The sequence below is a fragment of the Homo sapiens genome, chromosome 1, assembly GCF_000001405.40.
Source record: "Homo sapiens chromosome 1, GRCh38.p14 Primary Assembly".
Lineage (NCBI taxonomy): Eukaryota > Metazoa > Chordata > Mammalia > Primates > Hominidae > Homo > Homo sapiens.
The window spans coordinates 31591577-31610929 of NC_000001.11; the positions used below are offsets into that span (position 1 = coordinate 31591577).

The following is a 19353-nucleotide window of genomic DNA, read 5'->3' on the forward strand; positions in this document are numbered from 1 at the left end:
CCTTCAAAACCCAGCTCAAATGTCCCCCCTCTGGAAAGCCTTTCCTGGCACCCATCCTCTGGATCTCCGGGGACTCCTCCATACACACCTGGCACAGAGGGAGTATCTGTCAACAACTTCTCCTCCTACAGGCGGATGGGGCAGCGACTTTTTCTTTTTCAGCTCCATCCTTTCCTGACCACCAAATATTTCACTTGGGCATTCATTCTGGCCCCCTGTGGGGCTCTGCGGGGGTCCCGAGGCACCTAACTCTAATCTCCCAGGGGCTGCTAAGTTACATGACTTCACAAGTGCTGATGCCTCACATCTTCTTGGGATCTTGCCAAACCCCCATCCCTGCCTGGTGCCCATTAAGGGAAAGGAATTCATGCCTACCGAGCCTGCAGTGAGCCACGCTTTGGACTATGTGCTTCACTCACTTTAGCTCCTTCGATCCTACCCTCGTTCCTAGGAGGAAGTGTATGCCTAGAAACCCAATGTCAACAAGTGAGACAACTCTCAGACTCTACGAGAGGGGTAAACCTCCAAATTGTGAGGAGGGCAAGTGGGTCCAGGCACAGCTGGAACCAGGGACCCAAAAACTGCCAGGACACACCCTCTCTGTCTCTGTCTCACTCTGCCTCTCTTTTCTCTGCCTTTCTGTCTAACTCTGCCATGAGGAAGGATTTGTGGCCAATGACAACTCCTGAGCCTCCCAATCCACAGCCATGTTCTCAGTACTGATTCAAAATAGAGAAGTCTTTTGATTGGCCACACTCCAGTCAGGTGTCCACCTGTGGGACAGTCACCTGTGGCTGAGGGACAAGGTCATGGAAATCATGACAGTCCTTGCCAAACCAGTGTTTAGGAGAGGAGATCCTCAAAGAAGGAGGATCCAGGGGAAAGGAGGAATGCCAAACAGATTAAGGTAGGAGGACAGACTTAATTCCAGGGATTGGGGCCTCAATGATTACTACCCCTTCCCTAGAAATTTCTGCATAAACTGCCCCTTAATCTTTGTGCAATTTAAAGTGGGTATAATTGTGACTGCAAAGCTGCCCTGAGCTGCTACTTTTGGCCTACGGGGTAGCGCTACTCTGCAGGAGCAGTCACGGAGCTGTGACACTCCTCTTCAATAAAGCCATTTTCTTCTACCTTTGGCTTGCCCTTGAATTCTTTCCTGGCCAAAGCCAAGAACTCAGTGGGCTAAACCCTACTTTGGGGCCTGCCTCCCCTGCATCAAAATGACAGAAATGGGTCCACAACAGCTAGGAACAACTCTTAACCTCCATTTGACAGATAAGGAGATGGAGGCTCAGGGAGGGGATGTGACTTGTCAAGTCACACTGCTGGTAAGCGCTGGAGCTAGATGCAGACCCCACTTTATGAAAATCCGGGGGCTCTGACACCAACACCCGAGCCAGTATCTTTCCAAAGTAAAACAAGGCTGAGTCTGAAGAGGACTTCTAGGGAAGCATCCTGCTTCCTGCTCCAGGGGGCTGCAGCCTGGCTCCCACCATGGGATGGGATGAGATGGTAAACCGAATATGCCAGTGGACACATCAGAGAGATGGGTCCCAGGAAAGCCATGCTGAAGATACGCACTGTAGGTAAGGGCTGCTATTACCTCCTTTTTACAGGGAGGAGACTGAGGCTGGGGGGTGGGGGTTGAGGTGGGGGAAGAGAAGTGACTTGCCTGAGGACACATTGCTAGGAAGTCGTGGGCAACCTCATTTGTCAGACTCCAAAGCCGGAGCTTTTTCTAAGCTGTCTGGGTGTATACACAGCCACTCTTCAGGTTGTACCCAAGCAGGCTCTTTGGCCTCCAGTTCTGTGCACAAACAGCCTGGATCTGAAGTTTGGGGCTTGCAGAATTTGCTGATGAAGGTGCAACTGAGGGGAGGGGCAGTGGTGGGGGTTATGTAACACTCAGGTGGGCTTGGCCTGGGGCTGCAGGGAGGTGCTAGGGTCTGCAGAGTGCAAGCCGAATCACTGCTCATCTTGTCAAGTTCAAAAGCCTCCTCCTCTGAGAAGCTTTTTTTTTTTTTTTCTTTTTTTAGAGAGAGTCTCGCTGTCACCCAGGCTGGAGTACAGTGGTACAGTGGCAGGATCATGGCTCACTGCAGCCTCAACTTCCTAGGCTCAAGCAATCCTCCTACCTCAGCCTTCCAAATAGTTGGGACTACAGGCATATCACCACACCTGGCTAATTTAAAAAAAAATTTTTTTTTTTTTAGAGATGGGGTCTCACTATGTTGCCCAGGCTGGTTCAGAGCTCCTGGCTCAAGTGATCCTCCTGCCTCCACCTCCTGAAGTGCTGGGATTGAGAAGCCTTTTTGACTCCCCAGGACAGCCCTCATCCATCATCGAGACTCCACTCTCACACCACTTCCTCCTTCATAGTCCAGCATGGGAGCTGTCCATACCCTTCCTGATGTGGGGTTCTGAGAGCAGGGCTGTGCCTCACTCTCTCTGCTCTCAGTGTTGCCTAAAACTATACTGGGCATGGAAGAGACACCAGACCCGTTTGCTGGAGGATGGAGGAAGCGAATGAATGTGGATGTTCACTTGGCAGCACCAATCTCAGCAGTGTCAACCTCCGCAGCATCCCTGCCCCCTGGTGGCTGAGTCCACACCTCCCCCTGCTGCAGCCTAGAGGAGTAGTGGAGAGAAGCCACCTGTGCAGATTCTCAGACCTGAGCACCTGCTGTGAGTTCGTGTCTTACTCTTTGGAGCCAAAACTGTTCTGTGAGGCCTGGAGACTGGCACAGGGGGACAAAGAAGGATGGGACAGATCTGGGAATGGATCTCAGTCGGTCTGACTCCAGAGGCCAACTCATTGCTGCGGCCCCACTTGTCACCTCTCACCCAGATGTTGTGCTCCAGCCTGGCCAGAAGAGAGTCTGAGTTTGGCTCTTTTTTTTTTTTTTTTTTTTTTTTTAAAGACAGGGCCTCGCTTTGTTGCCCAGGCTGGAGTGCTGGAGTGCAGTAGCACGATCATGGCTTGCTGCAACCTTGACCTTCCAGGCTCAAGCAGTCCTCCTTTGGGAGGCTGAGGCGGGCAGATCACCAGGTCAGGAGTTCAAGACCAGACTGACCAATATGGTGAAACCCTGTCTCTACTGAAAATACAAAAAGTTAGCCGGGCATGGTGGCAGGCACCTGTAATCCTAGCCACTTGGGAGGCTGAGGCAGGAGAATTGCTTGAACCCAGGCGGCGGAGTTTGCAGTGAGCCAAGACCATCCCACAGTACTCCAGCCTGGGCAACAGAGCAAGACTGTCTCAAAAATAAAAATAAAATAAAAATTAAAAAAATAAGGAAATGGAGAAACAAGCTTGCCCACTGAGAGCTGGACTGAAGAAATCAGTATCTAGGCTGGGCGTGGCAGCTCACGCCTGTGATCCCAGCACTTTGGGAGGCCAAGGCAGACGGATCACAAGGTCAGGAGTTTGAGACCAGCCTGACCACCAGGGTGAAACCCTGTCTCTACTAAAAATACAAAAATTAGCTGGGTGTGGTGGTGGGAACCTGTAGCCCCAGCTACTCGGGTGGTTGAGGCAGGAGAATCGCTTGAACCCGGGAGGTGGAAGTTGCAGTGAGCTGAGATCGCACCACTGCACTCCAGCCTGGGCAACTGAGCGAGACTTTGTCTCACAAAAAAAGAAAGAAAGAAAGAAAGAAAGAAAGAAAGAAAGAAAGAAAGAAAGAAAGAAAGAAAGAAAGAAAGAAAGAAAGAAAGAAAGGAAAGAAAGAAAGAAAGAAAGAAAGAAAGAAAGAAAGAAGGAAGGAAGGAAGGAAGGAAGGAAGGAAGGAAGGAAGGAAGGAAGGAAGGAAGGGAAAGAAAGAAAGAAAGAAAGAAAGAAAGAAAGAAAGAAAGAAAGAAAGAAAGAAAGAAAGAAATCAGTATCTAATGAATGACAACAGGGATGTGCAAAGTCACCTTAAAAGGCCAGGCTAACTCCAGCTCCTGAGAAAGATTCTTTGCTTGGCCTAACTTTAGTCAGGCTCTTGAATCTTCTCCTAAGCCCATCTGAGCATTTCCTTGTAAAATTAGGTTTTAGCAAAAGAACCCCACTTAATCCATTTAGGCAGAACACCTCATCCTCTACATCTGATCATCCTTGATATCTGATCAGGTTGCTTATCTTCCACCCTTCCCCAGGTGATGTCTGCTTACCCAGGCCTGTCTTCAGCAAGAATCCTGTTAAGTCATTTTAGTCAGAATCCCCCTTAGTCCTGCTGTTGCTTCTTAGTAATTTTTCCATCCACTGGCCCCCACCCTGCTCCATGACTATAAACTCCCACTTTCCCATTCTGTATTCAGAATCGAACCCAGTCTCTCTCCCCTACTGCAAGATCCCTGTTGCAGTGGTCCCTATACTTCTCAAAATGGTCCTGAAATAAATCTTCCTTATCATGCTTTCACAGGTATCATTGAATAATTTTTTCTTTAATGGTCCTACAGAAGTTGGCAGGCACCATGGTGGAAATATTGACTCAACTAAAATAGTGAAGTATCCACAGACAAAGATGAGTCTCCATGATCCCAGGATGCTGAGTGTTGTCCAGGGAGAGTCAGCTTGGCTGTTGGACCAGTGACCAAGCTGAGGCTTGTGTTCAGATGGACGGAGGGTATTCCTGATGGACTCTGAGGACGGTCCTTTCCCCATGGCAGGCTGGTGCTTTGGAGACTTAGGTGTGGTGGGCTTTCTTAGCCTGGGGCCATAAACTCAGGGTTTCAGCCTCAAATACCATTGGGACTTGGCAGATACATGAGGAAGCCAGGAGTGTTAGAGAATAGGGAGTAGCAGGGTCTGTGTCCAGCATGTATTGGAGAGTGCACATGTGCCTAAAGGCATTCAGAATCAATGACTTTTAAAAACATCATGCCATCCTCACTCACACAGGGTCTCAATAGGAAACAGATGGTGAACTCTAATTAGGATAATTGGGGTAGAGTTTATTTTCAAAAAGATGAATAACAAAGAAGGGTCTAGGGAGGTCATCAGAGAGAGTGCAGAACTCTGGGGCTAGCGGTGACCTGGTTGTCACTTCCCCTAGGCCTACAGGGCCAAGGGGTAAGAGAGGTCACCAGAACTCTGAAGGAGTCATTTAAAGTAGAGGTGGCCTGTCAGTGAGGAAGCTAGGGAATAAACCCCTCAGCCTGGCTCTCCCCTCCCTGTCATCTGCTAGGCTCCACATTTACCAAATCCCATGAGAAGCTAGAAGGCAGGGAATCACGGCTGTGGACTTTTACATGAACAAGGAATAACCTTCTATCTTATTTAGACCTCTCTTTTCCAGGGTCTTTTGTAACAGCAGCTGAACCCATAACCTAACCGATACACTCATAACAGGAAACATCTGCCAAAAAGATATGATAATCACGAACTTACACGTATCTCGCAGAACATGTTTATTTTGGTGAAACATATAAAGCAAATCTGGCAGAACTGCAAGAAGTTTATAGACAAAGTGGAATTTATAGACAAATTTATAGATAAAGTGGAAAATTTTAATCGAACTTTCTTAAAACCAATGGATCAAGTAGCAAAACATTAGTAAGGTTACAGAAGTTTGTACAATATAATTAAGGATCTTGAGCTACTAGATAAACAAATTTTACACCCCCACCCAAGAATACCCATTGTTTTCAAGCTCATGTGGAATATTTTTCTAAAAATGCTGCCTAGTTGGCAACAAAGAAAGTCTAAAATTTGTTCAAGGAATCAATATCATCAGTCACATCCTCTCATCCCAATATAATAAAATTAGAAATCAATAATAAAAAGTTGGCCAAGAAAATCCAATATGTTCAGTAACTTAATAATTCATTTCTAAGTACTTCACAGGCTAGGAAGAAAATTATTAATATAGTGGAAGTTACAAGATATTTAAAACTGAATAACAATAAGCTAAAGTGAAATTTGGAGGGAAAATATGTTTATTAAAAGCAGGAAGAATTGGTAACAAATGAATTAAGCATCCAACTCAAGACTCCAGGAAGAGGTATCAGAAAACCCCAAGAGAATAAAATAAAGGAAATAATAAAGATAAAGCAGAAAGGGATGATACGGAAAACAACCTAAAGTTGAGATGAGTCTTTTTAAAACCTTAATAAAATAAATAAATCATTAGCACAAAATAGACAATATTAGGAACAAAAAGAAGGCTATGGCTAGAGATGCAATCAAGATTTTAAAAAATCACAAGAAAACGCCATGGGGACCTCCGGTTCTGGCAAGATATCGGACTAAGTTAATATGGAAAATCTAGGAGATAAACTCAGAAGGAAGAAGTGGTTTGTAAGAAGAAGCGGAGAATTAAAAAATCATTAAGTGTGGACAATTCAAACAAGCAGAGACTTCATAAGAAAAAAATTTAAAAGGCTGATTAAAAAGAAAAATAAGGCATGGCCAAAAAAAAAAAAGGGAAAACAATATAATGACAGACAGGACACTATGATCAGAGTTCAAAAGCATTCTAAGGTTGTGCTAGAGGTGGAAATTGATTAACTTCAGACTTTAAACCTGAAGTATACATGTTAAAAATTTAAGGATGACTGACCGGGCATGGTGGCTCATGCCTATAATTCCAGCACTTTGGAAGGCTGAGTTGGGAGGATTGCTTGAGGCCAGGAGCTTGAGACCCACCTGGGCAACATAGCAAGGCTCTGTCTCTACAAAAACTAAGGAAGGTAGCCAGGCATGTGGTGCACACCTGTATTCTTAGCTACTGGAGAGGCTGAGAGAGGAGGATCACTTGAGCCCAGCAGTTTGAGGTTGCAATGAGCTATGATTGTGCCACTGCACTCCAGTCTTGATAACAGAGTGAGACCCTGTCTCAAGAAAATAAAAACAATAACAAAACAACAACAAAAATATCTCAGTACATCAGTTCGTTTCAGTCGCTGTAGTTGGCCTTTGTTTCTTGCAGCTAAATGCATCAGGCAAATACTAAGCAACAGAAAGCTGGTGTCACTTTATAAGTATCAGACAACTGAATACAAAGGTTTTGTTTTTTTGTTTTGTTTTGTTTTGTTTTGTTTTAAGACCGTCTTTCTCTGTCGCCAGGCTGGAGTGCAGTGGCGCGATCTCAGCTCACTGCAACTTCCGCCTTCCGGGTTCAAGCGATTCTCCTGCCTCACCCTCCCGAGTAGCTGGGACTACAGGCACATGCCACCCCGCCCAGGTAATTTTTGTATTTTTAGTAGAGACGGGGGTTTCACCATGTTGGCCAGGATCGTCTTGATCTCTTGACCTTGTGATCCGCCCGCCTTGGCCTCCCAAAGTGCTGGATAAAGGTTTGAATATAGCTAAAGCAATCCTTGAGGGACTATGTATGTATATTCTTAAATACATACATTTGATAAGAATAAAGATGACACATTAATGATTCAGCATCCAATTTAGGAAATCAGAAAAAGACAATATAATAACAGCACCCCATCCCCCGCCAAATAGCAGGAAATAATAGAGAGAGAAATCAATAAAACAGAAAACAAAGAAACAATAGAGATGGTCAAAACAAGTGACTAATAAAATAGATCTATTTCTAGCAAGTCTGAGAAAAAAAAAAAAAAGAAGGCCCAAATAATATTGGAAATGAAAAGGGGAGGACATGCGCAGTGGCTCACGCCTGTAATCCCGGCACTTTGGGAGGCTGAGGTGGACTGATAACTTGAGGCCAGGAGTTCGAGACCATTCTGGCCAACATGGTGAAAACCCACCTCTACTAAAGATACGAAAATTAGCCAGGCGTGGTGGTGCATGCCTGTAAGTCCAGCCACTAGGGAGGCTGAGGCAGGAGAATCTCTTCAACCCAGGAGGCAGAGGCTGCAGTGAGCTGAGATTGTGCCATTGCACTCCAGCCTGGGCAACAGAGAGAGACTCTGTCTCAAAAGAAAGAAAGAGAGAGAGAGAGAGAGAGAAAGAAAGAGAGAGAAAGAAGAAATGAAAAGAGGAATTTAACTACAGATAATTTTAATCATAAGAAACAATATTACACAAATAAATTTGAAAATGCAGATGTAATGGGTAAGGGTCTGTAAGATGTAACGTCAAACCTGAATTAAGAAATGGAAAAGTGGCCAGGCGTGGTGGCTCACACCTGTAATCCCTACACTTTGGGAGGCCAAGGTGGGCCGATCACTTGAGGTCAGGAGTTTGAGACCAGCCTGGCTGACAGGATGAAACTCTGTCTCTACTAAAAATACAAAAATTAGCCGGGCATGGCGGCATGCTCCTGTAGTCCCAGCTACTCCAGAGGCTGAGGCAGGAGAATCGCTTGAACCCAGGAGGCAGAGGTTGCAGCGAGCCAAGATTGTGCCACTGCACTCCAGTCTGGGGAAAGAGCAAGACTCTGTCTCAAAAAATAAAAATAAAAAATAAATGGAGGCCTGGCACGGTGGCTCACGCCTATAATCCCAGCACTTTGGGAGGCCGAAGAGCATGGATCAAGACCAGCCTGACCATCATGGTGAAACCCCATCTGTACTAAAAATACAAAAATTAGCCAGGCATGGTGGCACGCACCTGTAATCCCAGCTACTCAGGAGGCTGAGGCAGGAGAATTGCTTGAACCCGGGAGGCAGAGGTTGCAGTGAGTCAAGATCACACCACTGCACTCCAGCTTGGGCGACAGAGCGAGACTCCGTGTCAAAAAAAAAGAAATGGAAATGAGAAATAAATAATAACATTAAAGAAATTGTTATTGAGATCATTCTGTTTTTATCTTTTCAATCTCTCCTGGGTCTGTAGTTATCATATCATTTGCATTCTTAGTATTTATTAATTTGTGCCCTTCCTTTTAAAACAAATCAGCCTCGGAGGTTTGACTATTTTTTTTTATCTTCTCAAAGAACCAACTTTTGGCTCATTAGTCCCCTTTGTTTTCTGTTTTATTAATTTTTGTTCTTATCCTTTCCTTTGTTCTGCTTTCACTAGGTTTGTTCTATTGTTCTTTTTTATTTCCTAAGTTAGAGCAAGATATAGAATATTTTCAGAATTCCAGTCATAACCTCCCCCGTATCCCCAGAGGTAACTACTACTCCAACTTCTATCTCCATAGATTAGTTCTGGTCCCTTTTGAATTTCATGCAAATGGAATTAGAGAGTATCTACTCTTTCTGGCTTCTTTCACTCAAAATTAGGTCTGTGAGGTTCATCCCTGTTGTCCGTTACAATGGTTGTGTGTGTGTGCTTGTGTGTGATGTGTTTTGGTGTATAGCATTCCGTTGTACAAATATATTACAGTTTATTGTTCTATTCAACTGTTGATGTACATTTGGGTTGTTTCCAGAAATGTGTTTTTAAATTTCCAAACATGTGGGTATTATTTCTCTTTGTCACCAACTCTTAATGGTATTTTGACCAGAGAGTATGGTGTGTATCACTGTGATTCTTGAAATTAAGACTTGCTTTACTGCCTGGAATGTGGTCCATGTCTGTAAATGCTCCATGTGTACTTGAGAAGAATAAGCATTGGGCGTTGGATTCTCTTTATGTCACTAAATCAAGCTTGTTAATTGTGTTGTTCAAATTTTCCATACCTTTACTAATTTTTTTACTGATTAGTCAATCGATAATGAAAAGAGGTGTTTTGAAGCATCTCACTTCTAAGTGTGTATTGTCAATGTGTTATTTTTGGCTTGTCTCTACCATGTTGCTTTTTGTTTTCAATTTGTCCCACTTTGTGGTTTCCTTCTTGCCTTTTTGAAAAGTAGATTGAGCTTTTGTTTGTTTTCTTATTTCACCTTTCTGTCTACTGATTTGGAAATTATTGACTCTATTCCTATTCCTAGAGTAGGTCCCCTTAAATTTTTGCACTGCACACTTAACAAGGCCTAAATTTAATATTCCAACCCTATTTCCAACAATACAAGGTCCTTGGGAAACTCCAGCTCCAATGGCCACCCCCTTCCTCCTTACATTCAAATTTCATTTTAGTCCTGTCCCTTTTGTTTTCAGCCCCCCAAATTGCCATCATGATTATCATTATGCTATACAATGTTTGTTTAGGTTTATCTCCATGTTTATCATTTTTATTTCCTCAAAACTTGTTCTTGCATCTCAGGTATCTTTTTCGATCATTTTTTTCCTTTCTGAAGTATATATTTAGACATTCTTTTACTGTAAGTCTGTTGGTAGATTTTTTTTAAACTTCATTTTGAGATAATTGCAGATTGACATGCTGTTGTAAGAAATAATACAAAGATTCCTTATACCTCACATCCCCTTTCCCTCAATGGTAACATTTTGCATAAATATAGTGCAATAGCACAGCCAAGAAAATGACATTGATGCAATCTACTGATCTTATTTAGGTTTTACCAGTTTTATACGCACGTGTGTGTGTGTGTTTGTGTGTGTGTGTGTGTGTGTGTGGTTCCGTGCAATTTTAGCACATGTAAACTTGTGTGACTGTCATCACAGTCAAGATACAAACTATTCCATCATTGGAACTGGTTACCCTTTTATAGCCACTACTACTTCCCTCCCTCCAACATCCCAACCCCTGGCAACCACTAATCTGTTCTCTATCTCTATAATTTTTGTTATAACAAGAATGTTATACAACTGGAATCACAGTACACATAACCTTTTGGGACCGTCTTTTGGCTTTTTCTCACCCTGCACAATTTCCTTGAGATCCATCTAGACTGTTGTATCGACAGCTCTTTCCTTTTCATTGCTGAGTGGTATTCCATGGTATGGGTGTACCATAGTTTGTTTAACCATTCATATACTAAAACACTGGGTTGTTTCCAGTTTGGGGCTATTACAAAGAAAGCTGCTATGAACATTCATGTGCAAGTTTTGTGTGAACAAAATGTTTCATTTCTCTGGAATAAGCACCCCAGAGTGCACTCACTGGATCATAACCCTTTGCTTTTTAAATTTGCAAATGACTTTAATCCTCATTCTTGAATGATAGTCTTTACTGGGTGCATGTTTCCGAATGAACAGTTTTTTTCCCTAGGAATTTTGAAGATATCATTCTTCTGACTTCTATCTTTAAGGGCTATTGTTGCAAAATCTGCTGTCTGCCTAATTGCAGTTCCTTTGCACATAATCTATTTTTCCTCTCTGGCTGTCAATAGCTTTTATTCAGCTTTGGCGTTTTCCAGTTTCAATTCAATATGTCCAGGTAAAAATGTCTATTCTTCTTGTCTTTCAACAGCCCTCCATCTTTTCTATTCCCTCTTTCTGGAAATTTGCTTAGTAACATGTTAGATCCTATTATTTTTTCCCCTGTATCACATTCTTTTCTATTTTCCATCACCTTGTCTCTCTCTATTGAATTCTGGTTAATTTCTTCATATCTGTCTTTCAGCTTTCTCTTCAGCTATATCTAACCTACTGTGCTTTTCAAATATGTATATATATATATACATATATATATATATATATTTTTTTTTTTTTTAGGTGGACTCCCTCTTTCACCCAGGCTGGAGTGCAGTGGCATGATCTCGGCTCATCACAACCTCTGCCTCCCAGGTTCAAGTGATTATCTGCCTTAGCCTCCCGAGTAGCTGGGATTACAGATGCCTGCTACCATGCCCAGCTAGTTTTTGTACTTTTAGTAGAGACTGGGTTTCACCATGTTGGCCAGGCTGATCTCAAACTCCTGACCTCAAGTGATCCACCCATCTCGGCCTCCCAAAGTGCTGGGATTACAGGCACGAGCCACCGTGCCCGGCCTCAAATTTTTTTAATTGTGAAATACAGCACAATATGGAAAGGCATATCAAATACAATTGCACAGCTTAAATAACAATTATAAAGCAAACATCTACATAATCCCCCAGGTCATAAAGTAGAAGATGATAGGCACTCCTAAAAGCTCCCTGTGTATATCCCATCACAATCCCTTACTTTCTCTCTTAAAGGAAACCATTACCCTGACCTTATGGTAATCATTGTCTTGCTTACTTTTTATGGCTTTGTCCTCTGTGCATGCCTAAAGATGTGTTTTAACCTGTTTTTGGATTTTATATAAATGGAATCTTACAGTGTGTATTATTTTTGTCATGCTTTCTTACTCTACATTGCATTTTTTAAGATTTATTCTTTTTGTTATGAATAAATATCATATGTTTATTTTCACCACTGTATACTATTCCATTATATGAATATAACACAACTTACTCATACATAGTTTTGTTGATAAATATCTGATTGTTTCCAGCTTGTGGCTATTATAATGTTGTTTCTCACCTGATACTCAGCCCAGACACCAGGTTTTCTTTCTTTTCTTTAATTTCAGTATCTCATTTTCCTTTCTATTGTCTCTATTTAGTTGTTTTTTTCCACATCTACCTCATCACTTTTTTTTTTTTTTTTTTTGAGACAGTGTCTCCCTCTGTTGCCCAGGCTGGAGTGCAGTGGCATGCATGATCATGGCTCACTGCAGCCTCTACCGCCTAGGCTCAAGCAATTCTCCCACCTCAGCCTCCTGAGTAGCTGGGACCACAGATGTGTGCCACCATGACCGACTAATTTTTTTTTATTATTATTTGTAGAGACTAGGTCTCGCTATGTTGCCCAGGCTGATCTCAAACTCCTGGGCTCAAGCAATCCTCCTGCCTTGGCCTCCCAAAGTACTGGGATTACAGGTGTGAGCCACTGTGCCCGCCCTGCCTGATCATTTTTTAGAGTATCTTTTTGCTTGCTCATTTTCGTAATTTGATGTTATATTTACTAAAATATTTTATTCACAATTATGGTGTTTTATATTCCATGTTTGATAAATCCAATATCGGAAGTCTTTGGGGTCTAAGTTTATTATTTATGGTTTCTAGCTGGCTCTCAGTCATGGTGACTTGATTCCTTGGGAGTTTTGTTAACAGTGTGATACAGGTATATACTTCTCTTTCTTCCACACGGAAAACCAGTTTTCCCACCACCAGGTATTGGAGGGAATTGATTTAAATGCCACCTCTGACATAGGTTGAACTTCCAGTCTGCATAGCTCTGTTTCTGAGCTTTCAGCTCTATCTCATCCAGTTATTTGTACATCCCTCTACCAATACCTCCCTGCCTTAATGACTTTGGTTGTATACATCTTGTTATGTGGAGGGTGATTCTCCTCGTTTTGTTAATTTTCTTCAAAATTACCTTGGCTACTCTTAACTATTTGTTCTTTCATATGACCTTAGGATAAGCTTGACATGTTTCCCAAGATATTAATTTTAAAAAACTCTTCTTTGAACCTCTTATTGAAAGTAAAATAAATTTATAGGTTAATTTAAAAATAACATCTTTACAATTAAGTGTTTTCTTCTATGAGCAAGTTATACTTCTCCATTTATCTGGGTCTCTTGAATGACCATCAAGAAAGTTTTAGGCCAGGCATGGTGGTTCATGCCTGTAATCCCAGCACTTTGGGAGGCTGAGGTGGATGGATTGCTTGAAGTCAGGAGTTCGAGACCAGCCAGGCCAACATGGTGAAACCCCGTCTCTACTAAAAATACAAAAATTAGCTGGGCATGGTGGCAGGCTCCTGTAGTCCCTGCTACTCAGGAGGCTGAGGCAAGGGAATCTGTTGAACCCTTGAGGCGGAGGTTGCAGTGAGCCGAGATCGTGTCACTGCACTCCAGCCTGGGCAACAGAGCAAGACTCCATCTCAAAAAAAAGAAAAAGAAAGTATAATTTTCTCCATAAAAATATTGCTTATCTCTTAGGTTTATTCCAAGATATCCCATAGTTTTTTTTAATGCTTTTATAAATGGTGTCTTTTATAAATAGCATTTTATGTTTGTTGCTTAACAGCTGGGATGTGTTCCGAGAGAGGATTTTATTGTTGTGTGAACATCACAGAGTGTACTTACCCACACTTAGATGAGATAGCCTACTACAAGTACACCTAGACTACGTGGTACAGCCTGTTGCTCCTAGGATACAAACCTGTACAGCATGTTATTATACTGTTACTGTAGGCAATGCAATGGTGAGTAGCTGTGTATCGAAAAATATTTAAACATAGAGAGGTTACAATAAAAATATATTATGAAAGATTTTTAAATGGTACATCTGTATAGGGCACTTACTATGAGTGAAGCTTGCAGAACTGGAAGTTGCTTGAGTGTCAGTGAGTGGTGAGTGAACGCGAAGGCCTAGCACATTACTATACACTACTGTAGACTTTATAAACTGTACACTCAGGCTACACTAAATATGTTTTTAAAATTTTCTTTAAAAATAAATTAACCTTCGCTTCAGTAACTTTTTTACTTTATTAAAACTTTTTGATTCTTAAAAACTTTTTGCCAGGCGTGTTGGCTCATGCCTGTAATCCCAACATTTTGGGAGGCAGAGGTGGGAGGAGGCCAGCCCAGATCCTTAGCTGTCACAGTATTGTGGATGCTGGCAGAAGACTTGAGAGTCTTGGGTCAGAGACAAAGGACTTTATTACTCACAGCCCAGGAAGTAGCATCAGTTTCATGTCTGAGTCAATAGTTTCACTTGCCCCCCAAGTCCCACAGTGATGTTGAGGGCAGTGGGGGTGGTATAGACAGATGACGCACATTCAATGAGTTTGCATAATAGCAGAGGAACCCTGAGTTTAGGGAACTGAAATCCCTGATCTCTGCTACTGTAAAAGTTATCAGAATCAAAATGGAGTCACTTCTGTTAAAAGTGACAAATAGAGCTGGAGAAGGTCATGAAGAGACAGCTCTCACGCACAAGTTGCCCAATCACAAGAACTATCCCAATTAGCCAGGCGTGGTGGTGCATGCCTGTAGTTCTAGATACCTGGGAGGCTGACGCAAAAGGATCACTTGAGCTTGGGAGGCAGAGGTTGCAGTGAGCTGTGATGAAGCCACTGCACTCCAGCCTGGGCAACAGAGGGATACCCTGTCTAAAAAACGACAACAACAACAAATACTATCCCAAAAGACTGCAACAACCATCACAATCTTACACACAAAATACTGCAAGGCTATCTGCTCAGAAATTGCCTGTCCAACCTCAGACTAGTGCCGTCCTTATTGTTGATCCTTGTAGCCAAGGATAATTATCTTGAACAATGATGGAATCCTCCTCATTTTTCCCTCAAAATCTTTTGCCTTTATCTCCATGAATATGCATATAGTATACTATGGCACACATATTCCCATTGCAATGCCTATTCCCGAATAGATATCATTTTCTTTTAGAGAGCCTCTTTCTCTGTTTTTTAGGTTGACATCACAAAGGGAGACATTATTAGGCCGGACAGTAATCAGTCTCCTGTTCAAGAAGGACACACTAACTATATGTTCCAAAGATGGTTGATATACCAACATCCTTGAAGACAGTCCAGAACAAAAGGGCAGTTAGTGCCTCTGTGTGCAGGGCATCCAGAAACGAACCAGACCCATGGAAAATTCTTTCTCAACATGAACCTTCTCAACAGTTTTAATAGTTTGTCTGTAGAATCTCTTAGATTTTCTATGTAGACGATCACATGATCTATAAATATAGATGACCATTTTATTTCTTCCTCTCCAGTGGTTTATACCATTTATTCCTTTTTTTTTTTTTAAGACAGAAGCTTGCTCTGTCACCCAGGCTGGAATGCAATGGCATGATCTCAGCTCACTGTAACCTCCATCTCCTGGGTTCAAGCAATTCTCCTGCCTCAGCCTCCCTAGTAGCTGGGATTACAGATGCACGCCACCACCACCTCCAGCTAATGTTGTATTTTTAGTGGACATGGGGTTTCACCATGTTGGTCAGGCTGGTCTCAAATTTCTGACCTCAGGTGATCCCCTCATCTCAGCCTCCCAAAGTCCTGGGGTTACAGGTGTGAGCCACTGCACCCTTCTGATAACCAAGGTTTTCTGGGCCAAGCTCTCAGCTTCCTGCTCCTTGGTCCGTAAGAAAAATTCTCTCTTCCAGTAGTCTCTTCAGCTCCTGCAAAAACTCAGTCCACTCTGTCAATGAGGCCAGACATACCAGGACTCCAAGAGTGGTCAGGAGAGGCATGACCGAGGCTGTGAGCCCATGACATGGGGCGTGGGATCAAGTCATGCTTGTTAGTAGGTAGTGAGGCTGTGACGGGGTTCAGCTGGGAAGACTCTAGCTCTTGTCCTCCACTAAGGCCCCCACTTTATATCATCAACAATAAAAGGGCTATTGTTCTTCCATAACCCGTATTTTGCTTTCTTTCCCAGCATGTCAGAATCTGGGTGAGGAGAAAAAGGACTATTTAAAGGAGACCCCCTTGAAAACTGGATATCCATATACCGAAGAATGAAACTAGACCCCTATCTCTCACCATATACAAAAATCCAATCAAATGAGTTAAAAACTTTAAGACCTCAAACCATGAAACTGCTGCAAGAAAATTCCCCAGGACATTAGACATAGGAAAATATTTCTTGAATTATATCCCACAAGCACTGGCAACCAAAGCAAAAATGGGCAAATAGGAATACATCAAGTTAAAACAATTCTGCACAGCAAAGGAAACAATCAACAAAGTGAAGATACAACCCACAGAACAGGAGAAAATACCTGCAAACTATCCATCCAACAAGGGATTAATGACAAGAATATATAAGGAGCTCGGCCTGGCGCGGTGGCTCACGCCTGTAATCCTAGCACTTTAGGAGGCCAAGGCGAGAGGATTGCCTGAGCTCAGGAGTTCAAGACCAGCTTGGGCAACACGGTGAAACCCCACCTCTACTAAAATACAAAAGAAATTAGCCGAGCATGGCAGCGTGCGCCTGTAGTCCCAGCCACTCGGGTGGCTGAGGCAGGAGAATTGCTGGAACCCAGGAGGCAGAGGTTGCAGAGAGCTGAGATCAGCCACTGCACTCAGCCTGGGCGACACAGCAATACTCCATCTCTACAAAAAAAAAAAAAAAAAAAAAAAGGAATATATAAGGAGCTTAAGCAACTCTATAAATCTAATAATCTGATTAAAATGGGCAAAAGACCTGAACAGACATTTCTCAAAAGAAGACATACAAATGGCAAACAGGCATATGAAAAGTTGCTCAACATCAGCAAACAAAGTTATCCCATCTTCATTCCACCTGCCTTGTTCCAGCTGCTGGCGGCCGACAGGATGGCATCCACCCACATTGAGGGTGGGTCTTCCTCTCTCAGTCCACCAATTCAAATGTCAATCTCCTCTGCCCACACCCTCACAAACACACCCAGAAACAACACCAGCCATCTAGGCATCCCTTTATCCAATCAAGTTGACACCTAATATTAACCATCATACCATACATAAGTACATAACAATAAAGTAGCAAGAAGATGCCACAAAAATTGAGATGTGGTATAAGAATAACAAAAGTTTAGAAAATACTCAAGTAAAAGCCTAGTGAGTAACAAGCCAGTATTTGCCATCAACACCCCACCCCCTAACAAATGCAGACATCTGGAACATACAGGGAGGGGAGAGATTTTTAAAGAGAGGGAACAGCTTTCTAAAAAAATTAAGTCATCTTGGACAGTCACAGTGGTTCACACCTGTAATCCCAGCACTTTGGGAGGCTGAGGCAGGCAGATCACCTGAGGTCAGGAGCTCAAGACCAGCCTGGCCAACATGGCGAAACCCCATCTCTACTAAAAACATAAAAATTAGCCGGGCATGGTGGCACGTGCCTGTAGTCGCAGCTACTCAGGAGGCTGAGGCAGGAGAATTGCTTGAACCTGGGAGGCGGAGGTTGCAGTGAGCTAAGATCGTACCACTACACTCCAGTCTGGGCGACAGAATGAGACTCCGTCTCAAAAAAAAAAAGAAAAAAAAAAGTGAGTGATATTTTTCCTAAGGACTAGAGTGCCTACAGGGAGTGTTGATGTCTAGAGTAAATCCCTCCTTATGTGGCCCAGGGTGGAGGCTGGAGTGTCTGTTTGTGTATCTGCCCTCTGCCACATACCCTAAGCCTGCTGGTTCATGCTCACCAACTCAGTCAGTGAAAGGACAACCTAAAGACATTTTCAGACATGCCAAGATTCAGAAAGCTTTCCTTCCATGCACCCCTTTTAAAAATGTTATTTGAAAATATACTTGAGATAAAGGGACATAATTCAAGAAAGAGAGACATAACAGATTCACAAAACAGTGGAATTAACCCAGTAGCACAGTGAATAGAAATACCAGAGGTCCATAAAGCCATCCATCAAAATTAGAACAGGAAGTCAGAGGGTTTGGAGAAGAACGTCTTTAGGAAGAAAATGGGCTTCATTCAACAAATAATGTAATTAAGAAGCTGGAAGATTTTAATGACTTGACTTAAAAGGCATATGTTTCTTCTCTCAAGGAGAAAAGAGGAAAGCAATTAGAAACTTCATGAGAACAAGAAATTGTGTAAGAAAGTCATGGTCCAAATATGAAGTGAATTAAAATGTCTTATGACTCTGAATAGCTGAGGGAGTGGAGGAGAATAGACTTGAGCTTGAAGCCTGGATCATTTCTCTTTGAGCAGTATTTAAACTGTGAGATTATAGTTCCTTCTCTATGTGTCCCAGGATTCTATTTGGCTCTGTAGAGAATAATGTTTATATAATCATAATATTGTTTAAGAACACTTTATTGATTTTCAATATTTGAAATTCAGAGATAGACAATACACAAAACTAGAACATTTTAATTATGGATATAGAACTAGATGCAAATGTAGCAGTTTAGCAAAAGGAATTAGGAGAGAAAGCAAGAGTGATGTCTCGTCTTACACAGTGGGGAGTTAACAGATAGTGCATGAAATTAATGGCACAAGAAAAAACAGCTGGAAATATTTGTATCTAACCAAACTCTGGAGGGAAGTTACCTTTGCTAAGTTCATCTCTTTTCTTTCTTTTTCTTTTTCCTTTCCTTTTTTTTTTTTTTTTTTTTTTTTTGACAGGGTCTTGCTTTGATGCCCAGGCTGGAGTGCAGTGGTGCAATCACAGCTCACTGCAGCCTCAATCTCCTGGGCTCAGATGATCCTCCCACTTCAGCCTCCCAAGTAGCTGGGACTACAGGCACCTGCCACCAAGCCCAGCTAATTTTTTGTATTTTTTGTAGAGATGACGTTTTCCCATGTTGCCCAGCCTGGTCTTGAACTTCTAGGCTCAAGTGATCTGCCAGCCTTGGCCTCCCAAAGTGCTGGGATTACAGGTATGGGCATTACAGGTGTAAGCCACCACACCCGGCCATAAACTCGTCTTTCATAGTAGGAATTGTTTCCGATGCTGTTAGTTCTTCAATAACCACCCCTTCCTCTATCTTTAGTCACAGAACTCTTACATCTCAGCTGGACACCACCTGACATGGCTACCCAGACAAAAATTATATTTCCCAGCCTCCATTGCAGCTACATGTGATCAGGTGACCAAATTTAGGTCAACTTGATGTTAGCAGAAGTGATGTGCCTTTCCACTTAGTTGAA

General features: G+C 42.6%; 2 annotated features.

The window, feature by feature from the left end:
* Nucleotides 2532–2601: a silencer, noted in NCBI's record as "silent region_571". NCBI's record gives its function as "represses an Ori minimal core promoter by ATAC-STARR-seq in GM12878 lymphoblastoid cells {active_cell/tissue: GM12878}" and the evidence as "EXISTENCE:reporter gene assay evidence [ECO:0000049][PMID:35858748]".
* Nucleotides 13683–14882: an enhancer, noted in NCBI's record as "P300/CBP strongly-dependent group 1 enhancer chr1:32070860-32072059 (GRCh37/hg19 assembly coordinates)". NCBI's record gives its function as "activates an origin of replication core promoter dependent on BRD2, BRD4, P300/CBP, MED14 and CDK7 cofactors, with strong dependence on P300/CBP, by STARR-seq in HCT116 cells {active_cell/tissue: HCT116}" and the evidence as "EXISTENCE:reporter gene assay evidence [ECO:0000049][PMID:35650434]".